The sequence below is a fragment of the Homo sapiens genome, chromosome 15, assembly GCF_000001405.40.
Source record: "Homo sapiens chromosome 15, GRCh38.p14 Primary Assembly".
Classification (NCBI taxonomy): Eukaryota; Metazoa; Chordata; class Mammalia; order Primates; family Hominidae; genus Homo; species Homo sapiens.
The window spans coordinates 32,658,718-32,675,868 of NC_000015.10; the positions used below are offsets into that span (position 1 = coordinate 32,658,718).

General features: G+C 42.9%; 2 protein-coding genes and 2 long non-coding RNA genes across 7 annotated transcripts in view, besides 1 other annotated feature; 3 read left to right on the forward strand and 1 right to left on the reverse strand.

Moving 5' to 3' along the window:
• Positions 1–17,151, forward strand: part of ARHGAP11A-SCG5 (ARHGAP11A-SCG5 readthrough) — an 81,623-nt gene that overhangs the window by 43,242 nt on the left and 21,230 nt on the right. The gene's annotated exons all lie outside the window — the stretch shown is intronic.
• Positions 1–17,151, forward strand: part of SCG5 (secretogranin V) — a 55,383-nt gene that overhangs the window by 17,008 nt on the left and 21,224 nt on the right. The gene's annotated exons all lie outside the window — the stretch shown is intronic.
• LOC124903458 (uncharacterized) lies at positions 4,874–8,403 on the forward strand. Its single transcript, XR_007064573.1, has 2 exons — positions 4,874–6,848; positions 8,086–8,403. It is a non-coding gene; the product is annotated as an uncharacterized LOC124903458 (long non-coding RNA).
• On the reverse strand, positions 6,985–14,348 carry SCG5-AS1 (SCG5 antisense RNA 1). Its single transcript, NR_135505.1, has 4 exons — positions 14,273–14,348; positions 10,283–10,401; positions 7,722–7,771; positions 6,985–7,200 (listed from the first exon to the last, which is right to left on the reverse strand). It is a non-coding gene; the product is annotated as an SCG5 antisense RNA 1 (long non-coding RNA).
• Positions 11,465–11,997: an enhancer, noted in NCBI's record as "NANOG hESC enhancer chr15:32962383-32962915 (GRCh37/hg19 assembly coordinates)". NCBI's record gives its function as "activates a minimal SCP1, AML or CMV promoter by ChIP-STARR-seq in naive H9 embryonic stem cells {active_cell/tissue: H9 hESC(naive)}" and the evidence as "EXISTENCE:reporter gene assay evidence [ECO:0000049][PMID:30033119]".

Genomic DNA, 17,151 nt, shown 5'->3' on the forward strand with positions numbered 1-17,151 from the left:
AGCGATACCCTCGATGGTGGCAGGGGTAGTAGCAGTGGCATTGGATGGGACGGTGGGTTGGATATTTCCCTTTGTATTGGTCAAATACATGCACAGATGGCACCAACACCACGGGGATCTCTGGAGATGAAGGTAGGTATTTCTTCAGTCACTCAGCACTTAACAACTGTCAGAGAGGGCCGGGCGTGGTGGCTTATGCCCGTAATCCCAGCACTTTGGGAGGCCGAGGCGGGTGGATCCCGAGGTCAGGAGATTGAGACCATCCTGGCTAACACGGTGAAACCCTGTCTCTACTAAAAATACAAAAAATTAGCTGGGCATGGTGGCGGGCACCTGTAGTCCCAGCTACTCGGGAGGCTGAGGCAGGAGAATGGCGAGAACCTGGGAGGCGGAGCTGGCAGTGAGCCGAGATGGCGCCACTGCACTCCAGCCTGGGCGACAGAGCGAGACTCTGTCTCAAAAAAAAACAAACAAAAAAAACCAAAAAAACTGTCAGAGAGATAATAGGAGAAATGTGCCCCTGCACTCGCACTGCACAGCATGTGCCGGATCATCTGTGAAATGGATCTTTCCTCTGGGAGCTCCATCTTTTCCAGGTGATTGTTCACTTGGACATATTTGATTATAAGCTCCCAGAGTGTCAGACACGGACTTCTCATGGCAAGTTAGACGATCCCAGGTGCCCAGTGGGTGGCAGTGCAGTGAGTGGCAGGAGGAAAACTTTCCTGCTGGCTTTTGGTCTGACCAAGACAGAGTGATACTTATCCAGGGCCTAAAATAACCATAGCAATAGGCCTTGCCAGAAGGGATCTGTGGCAGGCTCCTGGCACTACTGGTCAGTTCCCCCAGTGGCCTGTTCAAGTTTTTCTTTGCATGAGACAGAGGTTATGGCTGAGGAAACAGCCAGGCCAGGAGGCTAGCCTGCCCTGCAGAAGCCCAGGGGACCTTCCTGATGCCATCTTTCTGGTATGACAGCTCAGCAGGCCTGTGTCAACAAGCCCTGCACGGTTTGGACAAGATGTGAGTGACTAACGTTTTCCTCTGGAGCAGCAGGAATGGATGGGCCTGCTGGGAAGAATCCCTTTGCTGTGAGCTACCTAAGACGCCTGGCTCCTGAATTGAACCAGCAGGTCCCTTCTCTGTATCTTGCTTGCTTTCCTTTAAAAAAAAAAAAATCCTCAGCAGATGATGGGAGGAATTATTTGCTGAGTTTGTCCAGACTCTGAATAGCCCTTGGTCACTGAAGTGTGCAAAAACATGGCAACAATGCAGGTGCTATGGTCTGAAAATGTTTGCAAAGGAAGGAGAGGAAAGAGCAGTTATTCTGACAGTAAATGATACATAATACTAATATTGGAAGGATTATTTTTTCCCTGTGTGGTCAGTGAATAGAATTTTTGGCAGTCGTCTATCATTTAACTAGGTCTGTATAGAGCACACTGGAGCCTGGTAAGGACCTCTGGCTTTTTTTACAGTCAGAGTTTTGGTGCCTAGGGGTCTGGGCTGTGGACAGGCGAGATGTACCTGCAGGCAGGGAGTGGTCAGCTTGCTCTCAGCTTGCCAGATCCGTGACTCTGACGAGAGAGTTATCAGTACCTACAGAGCTTCCTCCTGCAGCCTGCCTACCCACCCAGGCCATCTTCTGACACTGCCTCAATGTGTCCATGCTCCAGGCAGGTCAGATCACCTCCCTCATTCGGTTTGGACATCAAGGAGACTGTGTGAATGACCATCAGCCTCTCTCCAGTCTACCCAAAGGTATCAGGTATCCAGCACTATTCTGATGGAGAAGCAGTAAGAGTGAGCCTACCTTAGATCTATTAATAGAGCTCATTCAGCCAAGGAAAAGGATCCAACTAACCCAGATGACTACATGAGCCTAGGTCATTCACATGTAGCTTTGGTGAGTAATGAGAGATGCACGCATGATACCCCTGCTCCTGTCCTTTGGTGCCCTGCACCCCTCTCAGGTGCTCTCCAGAGTCAGCCCTTCTGACTGCAGGGCAGACCCCAAAAGGAGATCAGCTTTTCACCTCGATTACCCCTAGTACTTAAGACATTTGCCTTCATGAGTTTTTGGTAATCAATATTGTACAGCCAGTAATTTAATTTTTTCATGGTATCAATCTGATATTAAAGCTCTAGTATCTGGGAAGAGCACAGCAAAGCTTACCTGACTGACTCCACTATTATATTTGGAATGGATAATTGAGATATAATTTAAAGGGTAGAATATATTCTTTCTATAACTGCAAAAGTTTGCTATAACTCACAAAAGGAAATACAAAATTGAGTAATAGTGTTGGAGGAGAAGGAAGCAAATATTTATTTTGTATCTACTATGTGCCAAACACTTTATGTATTGTATTTTGCCCTCAGAAATCATATGCAGATGATTCTATTTTACAAGGGAAAGTTGAGGTTTAGAGCAGGTGAGCAACATGCCAAGATGGAACAGAAGGGGCATAGAACCTGGATTCAAGTCAGAGCAGGGTTTACACCCTCGGTACCATTTAGATGTGGGTCAGATAATTCTCTGTGGTGGAGGCTGCATCCCTGGCCTCTACCCACTAGATGCCAGTGGCATTTCCCCCATTTGTGACAACAGAAAATGTCTCCAGGCCAGGTGCGGTGGCTCATGCCTGTAATCCCAGCACTTTGGGAGGCCGAGGCGGGCGGATCACCTGAGGTTGGGAGTTCAGAGACCAGCCTGACCAACAGGGAGAAACCCTGTCTCTACTAAAAATACAAAATAAGCCGGTTGTGGTGGTGCATGCCTGTAATCCCAGCTACTAGGGAGGCTGAGGCAGGAGAATCACTTGAACCCGGGAGGCAGAGGTTGCGGTGAGCCGAGATTGCACCATTACACTCCAGCCTGGGCAACGAGCGAAACTCTGTCTCAACAAAAAAAAAGAGAAGAAAGAAAACATCTCCAGACATTGTCAAATGTCCTCTGAGGGTCAAAATCAGACCCGCTGTGGAGACCCATGGCTCTAGAGGCTTTGTTTTTTCTGCCATCACACACTCGGAGGGAAATTTGGGGGTAACTTTAAGGATGCTATATGGATAACTTATGTTTCAGTATTTTTTCTTATGAAGATAATAAAAGCTGTCGTGGATCATTTCGAAAATAAAATAAAGATTGTTTAGAATCGTACCACCTAGAGATACCCACTTTCAGCATTTGGCTATGTTTTCTTCCAGTCTGTTTTCTGTGCACACATAGGTAGTTTTTAAAATCATACAGTAAATCTTTTATCTCTTTTTATACTTAATATTATATCAAGAACCTATCCCTATATTAAAATCAGTGTAATTATTTTTAGTAGCTGCATTATATCCTATTATATGTTTATGCCTCAATTTACTCAAGCATTTTTGCAAATGGCCATTTAGAGTTTTTCCAGTTTATCCCATCATAAACACAGCTTCAATGAACATATTTGTGCATAAACGTTTGTGTACAGTCTTGATAAATTCTCTGGGGTATATATTTCTATGAAAAGAAGAATAATTGGGTCAAGCTCTGTACCTATTGTTTAGGCTGCATTTCCTACATACTGTCAGGTTGCTTTCTGTAAGTGTTGGACTTATATGGCTGTGCTTTCTCTCTCACTTGTTTGTGGGTGTCTTGTCTCACTTGTTAACTATAAGTATTAACTTTTTAAAGTATTTTAATTTGATAGGCAAAAATGGCATTTCATTGTTTTATTTGTGTTTATTTGATGACCAATGAAACAGAACATCTCTTCCTATTATATAGCTTTTTGCTTTTCTTAGTCTCTGAAATATTTGTTAATACGATGCATTGCTTCTTTATTAGATCTAATTTTTGTCTATCCACTTTAAGATTTGTTTCTTTCCATTTTCACATGTAGACTTAAAACTACAGTTCTTTAAGCTATTTAGCAGCAGTAGAGGAAGACTTGAGGCAAGTTGGAGGAGAGATGAAGGGGAGTGCTTTTGTATAAATTGGAGATCACCTCAACTATAGAATTAACTGAGCCCTGAAGTTGGAAGAAGAGGGAAGAATGGCGAGAGAGGAGGTAGTGCAGAGGTGTGCGGTCAGGATTTCCTGTAATGGCCACCAGGTGGTGCCATCTGCCCGGGACGATTTGATGTCTCTGGTGCAGGAGAGCGGAGAGCTGGGGAGAGTATTAATAAGGTGGTCACAAGCGAGGTGATTGGAGTGCCATTCATACATGTGGGACATTAGTTGGGCCTCTGTAATTAACCTGTCAATGATCATGAGTTGGTGCACGTGTGTTTGTGTGTAGAGCGGGGAAGAGAAGATTAGGGCTGTTAAAAAAAAAGAATATATATATATATATATATATATATATATATATATATATATATATAATATATAATATGTTATATATACACATATGTATACATATATACATATATAACATATATAATATATGAATGGCAGCTTTATTGAGATATAATTCACATACTATACAATTCAACAATTTAAAGTATACAATGTAATGGTTTTTGGTATATTCACATAGTAGTATCAATTTTAGATTTTTTATTGCCCCAAAAGAAACTCCATTCCCCTTAGCCATTCCCCCCATCTCTGCCTCCTTACTCCTTCCCTCAGTCTCCTTTCCCCAGACCCTGGAAACCACTACTCTACTTTCTATGTCTGTGAATTTGCCTCTTCTGGACATTTCATATAAATGGAATCAGAATAGGTGGTCTTTTGTGGCTGTCACTGCTTGTCCTAGCCAATGCTATACCAGCTTGACTTTGTGGCAGGAGGCATCAGGGTATCCAGATAGACTTACTGTTTTAAAAGAAACAGCATTTCCAGGCTGGCTAGGACAGAGAAAACTACGTAGAACAATACTTTTCCTACCTGGTGGATCATCAGAATTACCTGGGAAGCTTAAAATGAAAGATTCCTGGCCCCTAATCTCTCCAGGAATTCAAATATGGTAGTTCCAGGGAGTCTGAGCTGCTTGGGATTTTTTTCAGTGCCACCAGTGATTCTAATGATTGTCTAGCTGTAAGCAGTGGGACTCAAGTTTTGAACAGAGGCATGAGAAGAAAATGGCATTTCCCTGCAGATGGGCTGTACCAGCTGCAGCTTCAAGTCCAGTGCCTCTTGTGGGAAAGGAGCCACTCCCTTGTCATTCGCCACATCTACACTGCAACGCTGGTTTATGTCAGACTATCATCTTTGACTCGGCATGACAACAGTGCATATTTGAAGGCCATCAAACCAATGATATTAGCCTTGTTTACGGTTTAGCTGGAAAATATCTCCCATGTGGTATAGTAAGAAGAGCACTGAATTTGAATTCTGAAGCTCACCAGAGTGTTCCACTGACTAGTCTCAGGGCTACTGTGAGCACCCAGTGAGAGTGGCCATGAGAGGTGACACACTGCACAAGTCAGGGCACTGGAATCATGGGACAAGATGGGACCTTAGAGAATGTCTTGTCTGCCTGCCTCATTTCATAGTAGAGAAAATGAGGCCCTGAGAGGTAAAGTTCTTCACTGAAGGTCATACGCCAGCTATTAGTAGTGTAGCCAGCACCAGGGTGTCCTAGCCTTTGCCTCCTTCTGTTTCTCACTGTGCCCTCCTTCCCTACATTGCTCTCTTTTGGGATCTGAGGAATCATATTCAATCACCTTTCATTTTCAGAAATGAGGAAACCCAGGCCTCGTTTGTCCATGGCTACAAAACTAATTGATTTATATTTGCTTTGGATGACTAGGAGTTAAAATAATGACAGGTGAAAAATCCAAGATGGCGTTTGTATACCGCTTTTAAGAGCAATCCACAGCAGATTCAAGTTTTGTGAGGCCTGAAACTCATGCAATTTGAAAACTTTTTTCAAGAAAAATAACACACAATTGCAAATGAAAAGTTAGGTTCCAGGCCTTGGAAGCAGTCTGCGCCCATGAGGGGCCCTCATTCACTTCACTATAAATCCACCTCCAGGAGCAGTAATAAAGAGATCCCTACTCATGTTTGTGCTGCTAGGTTCTTCTGTTTGTATAAATAGCATGTGTCCTGCTAAGTCACCTCCACTCTTATAAAATGGAGGCCATTCTGCCAACACATGTGTATTGAACATCTCTTTATCTGTAAGGAATACAGAAGGGAACCAAGAAAGGAAACTAAGCTACCATCTCTAACTCAGGAGATGAGGCACAAAGGCAGAATGGAGGAATTCCCTCCCTGCTGTGGTCTGGGCCAGGGTGCCTATGGGAGCCCAGCCTCTAGGAGGTCTCCAGTTTTAATCTCAGATAATCTTCCTCTTGTAGTCATTCTTCTCCCTCTGCCTATCAAATGCAGATGTTGAGATGAGTAAACCCTTTGGGGTTTTTGGATGAAAAACTTTTCAAGATTTACATGACATTTTTGGGGTTGTGCCTACCCAAAAAAGTCTTATATCTCACATCACTGCCTTAGAAATGAATTAAAGGTGCATTTATCCATCAGGGCCACATTCCCCTAAAATGCACCTAATAGCACTGAAACAATTAGAATAACACAGGGATCCTGAATAATCCATGCCTCTTGTCAAGAAATTTTTTTCTATTTTTATTTTTGTAAAACAGCTTCCTTATCCAGTTGTGTTTAGTTTATTTAAACGATCACATCAGCATTAGGTTCTGGTTTGGGGTTTTTTTTTTTATTTGTTTGTTTAAGTCTCGTTTCTGACACTTTCTGAAAGATGCAACATGGAGATAGGCCAGGAGGGAAACTAGTTTTAGGGTGTTCTCATTACATTCATTTTATGTCATTTTTTATTATTAGGTTTACATTATTGAATTCCTGTGGAGAAGAGGAGTCAGAGCTGTGAATAAGTCATAAGTCCCTATAGGTAAAATCAAGTACTATTTGTCTCTGATCAAAATTGCCCTTTCCATTGATAGGAGAAATGACTGGGCCTCCTTGTCATCCAGAGTTCATTTTGTTTTTCGTGGCAGTTTCACTGTCTTTGGGAATTGAGCTTTTTGAAATGTTAAAGCACGAGAAGCATGAACACCTTGGCAGGGTTTGCAGTATCTCCTTCTAGTGCAGGATGGAGGGCTCCAGAGCTGGCAATTTGAGGAATGGCTGGTGGCTTCTGATGTCACCTGCCACTCATGTGTCCCTCCCTGTTTTGAATCATGGATCTCAAACATCCTCAAAAGCTCTTCCCTGGTAATTTCAAAACTCTGAACAAATCAATCCTAAGAAAAAATAAACAAACATGCAGAAGAGCAGAAGGATATTTAGGATATGGTTCTAATTAAAATTTTTAAGTTTTCCTTTTTCAAAATCCTGTATGAGCTATTAAATAGGGAAAAACAAACTTCTGAGTAGGAAAGAAATAAAGGCCATTACCCTTAGAGATTTTGAATCTTACAATAAACAAATAGGTCTTCTTTTCCCCGAATGTTTCTTCTTATCAACACAAGGGAGTTGAGTGATGGCTACAGCTCTAAAATACTGAACATGGCTGCCTACTGAATTCAGCATACATACGTAGGGATATGTTACATAAGATGCACATACATACTTTATTTCTATTAGCCTGTGAAACAGTGAACATGCCTGCTCTTATAAAGCTTCTAGTAAAGGAACTACAAAAGAAACACATCTACTGGGCATTCTCACACTGGCTGAGGTAGGTTGGAACCATCTGGATTCTTGCCTGTGGCATAGTTAACCTCGTGACTATCCAGTTTTCCAATTATCCAGGCCCATTTACCTCTGCTCCCACTCAGCGAGCCCTTTGGCTATTTCTCTGTTCATTGGCACCTAAAGTCAAGGAGAAAGAAACGAACATTTATTAAGTGCTATGTTTGTACCAGTTAATCTTCTCAATGAAGTATTATTATCACCCCTGTTTTACAGAGAAGGAAACTAATATTCAAAGAGGTAAGATAACTTGTTCAGGACCACATATGTTTTTAAGTATAGAGCTCATGCATTATAAAGTGACCACCCTAGCTAACATTTATTAAGCACAATATTTGCCAGAATTCTTGCAAAAAGCCTTACAAGGACTATTTTATTTTATCCTCATACCAACGGCTTAAGGATGGTATTACTTAAGTATTCTTGTTTTACAGATGAGGTCATACAGCTAAGGTGATGAGGCCAATATTCAAACTCAAGCATCTGGATTGCAGGCTGCACTTTTGATCGCCATGTCTAGCCTCCTCTATACACCTGCTCTGACCGATTTGGTATTCACCACGCCCAAGAGGCTACTGAACACCTGAAATATGGCTGGCTGGAGTTGTGATGTACTCTAAGTATAAACTACACACCCTATTTGGAAGACAGTATGCAAAAAAGAATATAAAAAGTCTCTTTGGCAATTCTTTATATCAATTACATGTTGAAATGATAATTTGGATATATTGGGATTAAAAATTATTTAATTTCACTATTTCTTTTTACTTTTTGAAGTGAGAAGACTAGACAATTTAAAATTACAAATGTAGTTCATATTCTATTTCTATAGAACAGCACTGCTATATACTATTTTAAAATAATATATAAAGGGGACTAGAACTGACTCAGGCCAACATTATTTTTCATCAATAGTTCTAGTTAAAAATTTGGTTGGAAGTGGGTGGATGGGAAGGTTGAAGCCCATTTTTAAAGATAAGTTTGGTGTTTTTATGAATTTGAGTTATGTGTGCTTTCTTCACCCGTTTTACCATGTGTGGGTAAGAGACTTGCCATTTTTAAGAATCAGAAGAATTCTGTGAGGTGTATTTCCAGTGTCTGTGTGTAGTGCTGCAGCTGTCTGAGCGTATTGCCGGAGGCACCTCCTTTGGACTTTAAGGCACGAATTGCTCATCACTGTCCACACAGCTTTGTGGCCGCCTTTGAGTCTATCTCTTTTAACATAACATTGAGTTCTGGCTCCAGGTCTGGCACAAAGTTGATAATAACTAGTGAATACTGTTTTGTTTGGTTTGTTGTAGTTTTATTCTTTTTTTTTTTTTGAGACAGAGTCTCACTGTGTCGCCCAGGCTGGAGTGCAGTGGCACAGTCTCGGCTCACTGCAGCCTCCGCCTCCTGGGTGCAAGTGATTCTCCTGCCTCAGCCTTTCGAGTAACTGGGACTACAGGCACACACCAGCATGCCTGGATAACTTTTTTGTATTTTTATTACAGATGGGGTTTCACCATGTTGGCCAGGCTGGTCTCAAACTCCTGACCTCAAGTGATCCACCCGCTTCGGCCTCCCAAACTTCTGGGATTATAGGCATGAGCCACCGGACCCACTTTATTCTTAATACCTATTGCCAGGCAGAGGTTACATGGATATAAAAGAGAGAAATTGGGAATATTTGTATGAGATGGGAAACCACAGGCCAGGAAAGCATTACCAAAGGGTTGTAGAGGATTTAGTCTGGGCCCCTCCCCAACGTACACACCACGTGCCTTCTCCTCTCGAGGCTAGAATTAACCCTCACCCCACCACCAGCTGCCAAAAAATAGTAGTAGCTGCTGGGAACTCAGAAACAGAAAAGAATTTTCTATGAGATTACTGTCTAAAACAAATGTTTATTCTAGCCATTTATAAAGAACACTTATGGATTTACAGCAGCTTAGGATAGTGAAAAAGAAGTAGAGGAATGGTAATTAATTCAGGTACGAATTTGTAAGGCCAAGTGAGAATCACGTTCCTTGTCGTGGCCCAAAAGGCCTTGTCAGACTCAGATGGAGTCTCCTCGTTTTAGTCTACAGACATATGGGTGGAAGTGACATGATGGAATAATTACATTCCCAAGCCGTGTACCCAAAATCTGTGCTAGGACCACTCCCCTGGCCAGTGCGGAACCAGGTCAGCTGGTGGAAGGGGCTCTGAATGGGCACAGCGCTGCCAGGCCCTGCCACTCCCACCTCATCCCATCCAGAATGGGTCCAACACAGTTCCTGCTAACCCTTATCCACACCTCCTCAACCATAGTCCCCAGTGACCTGCTTCCTCTGTGAAGCCCAGGCTGACTGGAAGGTGACCCTCAACAGAAACCATCAGAGAGCTTTGGGTCTGGGGCGGAGGGTCACCTCCACTCTCACGGTGGTGTCTTGGTGTTAATGTCATCTGTTGGCTCAGCCATTCATTGCTTCTCTCTTCCCTAAGCTCCTGCAGATCTCCTTTACTCGTTTCTTAAGTGTAGGAAGCTATCTCCTTGGATGCTGGGTCACTAATTATAAACTTCCTATGCATTTACCTGGCTCTGGTTTGGCCCCTAATGTCTTTATTTCTGCCTGCAGGATTGTCATTGCCATTGCCCCTTTTCCTTACCTGGGAACCCGACATACTCTGCTTATCCCTTGAGCTGGCACACCAGGGGGCCTGGAATTCCTGTTGGTGAAGTCACTACTTTAAGAGAATTATCCCAGAAATCCTCTAAGTTGCAAATCCTACAGGAGCAGAGTACTACATGTTAATTAGCACTCATTATCATGTTAGTAGAGAAGCTTACCCAAAGGAATGATACATAGGACCTGCTATGTCATTGAGAACAGAGAGGTGGGGCTCAGGTTCTGGACAAATGATGTCATAAGTAAGTGTAGTTTCAGAAAGGAAGATGAAGTGGGAGCTTTAGATAATTGGAGGCGGTAGGCCTGTATATGGAACCAGATGCTAGAGAGCCCAAGTCCATATTTTTACTTTTTCACAGTTTTGTGTCCATATCCTCACCGAATCCCAACCACCACCACCACAGTTCTATATCCCGTTATTTTTTCAATAATAACTGATACCTCAACTTAAGCTCCACTCTGACCCTCAGCTAAGCCATATAATTTCAGCAAGAATTATAAAATAAAGTTTTTAAAGGACAAACATGAGCCTTAACCTTAGTATAAAGACATGCTTAGCCTTCATACAAATTGCCAAGTTGAGACTTCATTTCAGACGGCAAATAAAAGTTACATGAAGGAGCTAAAAGTGCTATTGCAAATTACCTATTTGAAACGGCTTTTTCAAAACCTGCTAAATTCACACCTCTCCTAAAAATGCTTCACTTCCAGATTATTTTATTTTGGGGTTTTGTGTGTATGTGTTAGAGGGGGTGGGGTTTGTGGTGACTACAGAAAAATTAGTTAAATTCATAGGATAAAATTTGAACTTTTGCAAATGAGTAAACAGCCAAAACAAACACCGCTTCAGAAAAAAAAAAAAATACACGTTTTCTCCTTTTGGAAAGCAAGCAATGCTTAAGCAAAATACCTTAAAAGTTAACTAAAAAGCTTTTCTAAAATAAACAACTCTGCTTGTGATCCTAAATTGGGACCACATGTAGATGTGAAAGCTACAAATGCAGTGCACTCAGAATTTGCGTCTCTGCCTTCACTGTTTGCGTGCCTCTGAGTAGATGATGATAATGTTGGCTTTGGTCCCCAAGGAGCCTGAGTTTTTTAGATCCTAGTATGAGGGGGAAAAGCAGAAGAAGAAAGAGAAGGAATGAAAACAAATGCCTTTCAAGACAAAATATCCGAATGGGTTTCATTTTGCTTATCTGCCAACAGGCTCAACCCAATTTAGATCTCTCCTACAAGGACAGGATAGTGCCAGCCAGGGTGTCTGCCCTTGCCGGCTATGTGGGGCAGTCCCTGTGAGGGACCAGGCTCGAATTCAGAGCAGAAGGATCACTCTAGCAAACTGCCAGGGCCAGCCCTCTGCCCTGAGGCAAGTCAATGAATTAGCCAATTCAGCACAGATAGAATCATTCCTTTGTTTTTCTCAATTACCAAATGCTGTGTGCTTTGGGGGTCACTTGTCATGTGAGTTTAGAGAATGTGGATATTGCAACATAAACCCTCACCATTCTAAACAGCTTAAACTAAATTCTGTTACTAGGGAGGAGAGCTGAGGTGATAATATCCATCTCTAAGTATAAACTATTGTGTGTTCATTTTCCCATTATGGGAGACAAATTTCTCTTCTCCGCTAGTGCTCATGATCTCTTCCACCAGGCACAAACATCAGATGTGTGTTTATGTGGACATATTTTGTCCCCTATTATTGGAGAGCAAGCTCCTTGAGAGAAGGGATTATGCTGCCTGGATTTGTAACTTTGTTAGGCAAAGCATGACTTTATTTAGTTTTGAATTGATGAGGAGGCACTGATGTTAGTAAAAAGCTCAAATGTCCTGAGCCCTGTTGCTCAATACCTCAAACACAGGACCATGATCACCACAATGAAAAATATGCAGGATCATTAATTTCGGCTCTGTTAATTGTGCTGTTAGGAAATGTTGACTAGATAGGAAAAGCAGCTAACGTTCATGGAGTGCTTATTACATACCAGGTACTGAGGTAAGCATTTTACATACAGTATCCGATTTGTATCCTCCCACAAGCATGTTATCCCCGGGTTAAAAGGGGAGGAATTGGGGTCCAGTGAGATTGGGAGGTTATGAGAATCCCACAGTGTGTGGCAGAATGTGGACTTGAACTCAGGGCCCTAACAACAGGAAGCTATAAAAGCCTCTTTGTATAAAAAGTGCTCTCTTTCTGTGGGTCCTCAGTAAATGAAAATATTTGCTTTTCATAAATAGGTTTGAATGTTGGGACCCTCATTTCTCACCAGGAGTCAAGGCCAAAAGGTCTTATAAATAAGAGTGAATTTTGAGAAAGGATGTGTGAAAATGACTCTGTTCTTTTCTTTTATCTCACTTCAGTTACTTGGGATGGAGGAAGCAGAAACTGGGAGTCAGACATCTAAAATATGAAGTTCCACCCTCATGTTGGCCATTTCTTTCAGCCTCCTTTCCCCATTCCTAGGGGCCAATCTGTTTCTCCCTCTCCTGCTCTTTCTCTTTGCCTCTGTCTTCTTCTTTCCTGTGGAGACAATAGCGTGTGGTGGAACTGCCTGAGTGCTTACTGAGAAGGAGAAACCAAGCGCAGATTGTATAGAAGCTGACGAATGAGTCCTCTGATTGTGGACAAGTGATGGCGCTTTTTGTAAAATTGTGTATGTGTTTACCTCAAGTAGTGAAAAAAAAAAAAGAAAAAACAACTTTTGGGGCAAGTTGGACCTTAGGAAGGAGATTTCTGGGTCTCGGGGTTTCTCTTAGCCCCCAGTGCCTGGTGCCTGCGGCCGGTGTCGCCTCAGGGAGTCCCAGGCTGTTCTGTGGCCTCCAGAAGGAGCCACCCCGCCCCTTCCTCGCCCCACTCCGCTTTGCCTTCCCTTAGCCTGGGGAGCCTTGCCGCCTCTCCACCTTCTCTCCTGGTCTCCTCGGGCGCTCTCGCGCTGGCACCTTCAGCTCTGTCAGAGTCTGAGGGGAAACCAAAGGAGGCCAGGCGGTGTCTGGAATGCCCCATCCGACTGCTTCAGGCTCCCAGACCGCTGACAAAAGGAAAACTGGTCCGTCGCTTTCTGAATGATGTATCGAGACCGCAGTGTATTTTTAGCATCTGCTGTTTGTGGTAACATAAGTGAAAACTGCTGGACCCGTTCCCTTCAGCTGAATGGCTGGTATTCAGGGGCCTGTGCCCGCTCCCTGCCAGACGCTCCTCACAGAACTCCCTTTTTACGAGGTGGGCGACTGGCTCCCTGGCACCAGGCTGCCCCACCACAATTCTTTATTGCCCAGCGCCAGTGCCCAATTGCATGAATCCCCAGGGCTGCAGGCAGCGTGAGGGGTGCGAATGGGACGATGCTGGCTGCGGGCTTGTCAGGGTGTTCCCAAGTTGTGTGGCAGAGTCTGGAGGGCAGGGGTTGTCCGGATGTTCCAAACCTCCAGCGTGAGGTGGGCACTCAGGTGCGAAGGAACCATGGTGGCGAGGCCCACAGGTGGCGTCCCATCCCAGAGCCATTTTGCCGGGGCCTGGCTCTGCAGTAGTCACTGACACCGGAGATCCCCTGAGTGACCTGGAAACTATGAGAGACCCCAGGTACCCCGACAGGTCATTCTACTAACTGTGGCTGTGGAGCTCCAGCTCATCTTTGGAAGACGGAAACGCACTGGAAAGGGTATGAATGGACGCAGAAGGCCTCGTGGGGGCTCTCTCAGTGCCACTGTAGAGTGAACACAGGGCTGGAATCCAAAATAGCACCAACTTGCTGAGTGGCTTTAGGCAAGAAACCTTTCCCCAGGTCTCACTTTCTCACTTAGAATGATGAATAGTGATTCTTGTCCTACTGACCTCACTAGGACGTTTTTAATAAGGATGAAAGCACTTTGAAACTGTTGAAACCATAACATCACAAAAAAAAAAAAAAAAAAAAGAGACAGAGTGACGAAGTAACGCAGGTCCCATTTATGTTCTTAATTTCTGACCAACCTTAACTTCCATCAAAACTGCTTCCACTAGCCCCAGCCAGGAGAGCCGTTGCATCGTGGTGGGACATCATCAGGCTCTCCAACGGACATCGCTTATACTATGAGAACTCACGTTCAAGGGAGGTGTTTACCTCTAATTCCCACAGAACTAGCGTAAGTAAAAAATGGGGCAGCAGGATCCTTTCCTTGCAAAGTGTGAGCAAGTGCCTCTGTAGAGTAAAACTTTAAGTAAAAGGACTACAACGGCAGTGACAGCTCCTTTATCTGAAACTGCAGACTTTTAAGAAGGTTCTTAGCAGCCACACCGATGTCACAAATTCCATAAAGCAAGATCACCTAGGCACTCTCTCGGAGCTAATTTTATCTCATTTTATATATAATTTTAATAAGCCTGGCTCTCTCATTTTCTAGCCCCTTATTACTGAAAATGTGGCTCATGGACCAGCAGCATCTGCACTATCTGGGAGCTTGTGAGGAATGCAGAATCTCAGGCCCCACCCTTCACCTTGAATCAGAATCCACATTTGGATAAGATCCCCGTGTGTGTGTGTGTGTGTGTGTGTGTGTGTGTGTGTTGTGCGGGGGAGGGTAAAATTAGAAGAGACTTGCAGGGCCTAGGCGCACTCTCAATTTATTGTATTTCATTATGGAAAGGATTTGGGATGACTAGAATTAATAACTTAGAAGGAGTGAGGTGACAAAGAACATTAAAAACTATTGCATCTGGGACCATTTAATATAGGTTTGTTTGTTTGTTTGTTTTGAGACGGAGTCTCACTTTGCCGCCCAGGCTGGAGTGCAGTGGCATGATCTCGGTTCACTGCAACCTCTACTCCCCAAGTTCAAGTGATTCTCCTGCCTCAGCCTCCTGAGTAGTTGGGATTACAGGCGCCTGCCTGTAATTGTATTTTTAGTAGAAATGGGGTTTCACCATCTTGGCCAGGCTGGTCTTGAACTCCTAACCTTGTGATCCACCCGCCTCTGCCTCCCAAAGTGCTGGCATTATAGGTGTGAGCCACCGCACCCGGCCCATTTAATATAGTTTTATATCCGAATGCCCTTTAATACTCTGAGAATACACTGTTACAACACTGTATAGTCATTGATATTCCCAGTAATAGTCCCAAATTATCAAGAACAGGCAAAGTCATATTCTCCTGCTGTTTAAAGTATTTACCTAATGTTCATAGTGGAAAATTCTCCTTTAAAATGGTTAAATAAATCTTGATCTTAAACCGATGCTTCAGTGATCTGAATACTACATGAAACAGCACGTTCTCTCTAAAGAGATAAGTGAGATGGTACTATAATCGGAAACCTCTGTTAATTCGGATTTTGTTTTTTATGCACATTTTAGAGAGTCAAATTATATCAAGATAAAATATGATAACAGAGATTTACTCTAAAATTAAACAATGAAAAAAACCCTACCAGTGCAACAAAAAGGCCATGGCTGTTCAGAGCCAAGTAAAACTTTGGGGGTCAGAAGGTATTTAATTTTCATATTTCTGTTTACTAGGTACTAACAACTGATCTTCAAAATCATAGAGACAGGAAAATGGATTTGAAACCCAAGGGAGTTTTTAAGTAACCAGAAAAGTTAGTGCCCTCTTCTGGACAAGCGATCATTGGAGTTGTTAGAGGTTGTCCTTGGGAGTGCTGTTGGGGGCTTTGTTAACACCGAACAAGACCATGAGTGGCAAAACTTGGAGCTGAGGTTGATCAGGTCTCCAAGGCCAGGGAGAGACTCAAACCAACCAGGTCAACTTCCCAGCTGAATTGCCAACCTCAAAGGGATACGTACAGAAGGGAGAATTGGAGGCACATAGCAGAGGGTGAGAATGCAGAGAAGAGCAGGATGCGGTCAAAAGATTGGCAGATTTTTATGGAGGGTTCCAGCACAGGCCAAGAAAGAGATTTAAGGGTTCTGACTCAAATAAGACCAACTGTCCTTCTTTCTCATTCCCTTGACAATTACATCTGAGTGCAACTTTATTGCCATGGCAATACAAAGAAAGTCTACCAATGATTTGATATCTAGAGCTTAGAAATAAACAGCTGCATGGTACCAATTTTATTATATAAAGCAAAGTTTATATAAACGCAACTGGGCTTAAAACTCATTTGGCAAGAATTAAATATTTTCCATTTATTCTAGAGACATTTTTAGAGTGCCATGGCTGTGGTGGAAACATAAATAAAGCATCATCACAGGACAGGATTAATTAATTGCCTGAAATAATTTCAAAGCTGTAAGTGAAAGATCCTATCTTTATTAATGGTATTCTTTTCTCAAATCAGATTTTGAAACCTCACAAGCTTTTGACTCATCTCTCTCCTGTGCACTGCTAGAAATCTTATTTAACTCATGTTGCAGCCACCCTAATTCCAATCCTTGTCACTTCACTCCTGAGTTTCAGCAACACTCTTAGAGAAGAACTTCTTAATTTCTCTCCAACCTAGCTTTGTACAATGGTCTGTTCTCTATACCACCATCTATTGTCTATACTACAATACATTATGTTGGGAATATATCTTATTATGTACTACTGGCTTATTGTGTTAGTCATGGGTAACCAACTAGAATGAAGAACGAACTAGAGAACAGGAACTATGTCTTTCACATTTATGTCGTCTATAGCACCTAACGTAATTATTGCTACACAGTATGTTGCTACAGGGAGTCTTCCGTGGCCTAGATCTGGGCTAGATACTTCTCCTCTACACAACTGTGACACACTGCCGTATCCTGGTTACATTATCAGTGCATTACAACTGGCTGTATTACGTTTGTTTCTTTTTGTTTCTCTATGAACTATGAGAGCAGAGCCTACATTTATCTGGTTCATCACTGACCCTCTAGTACCTAGCCCAGGTTTT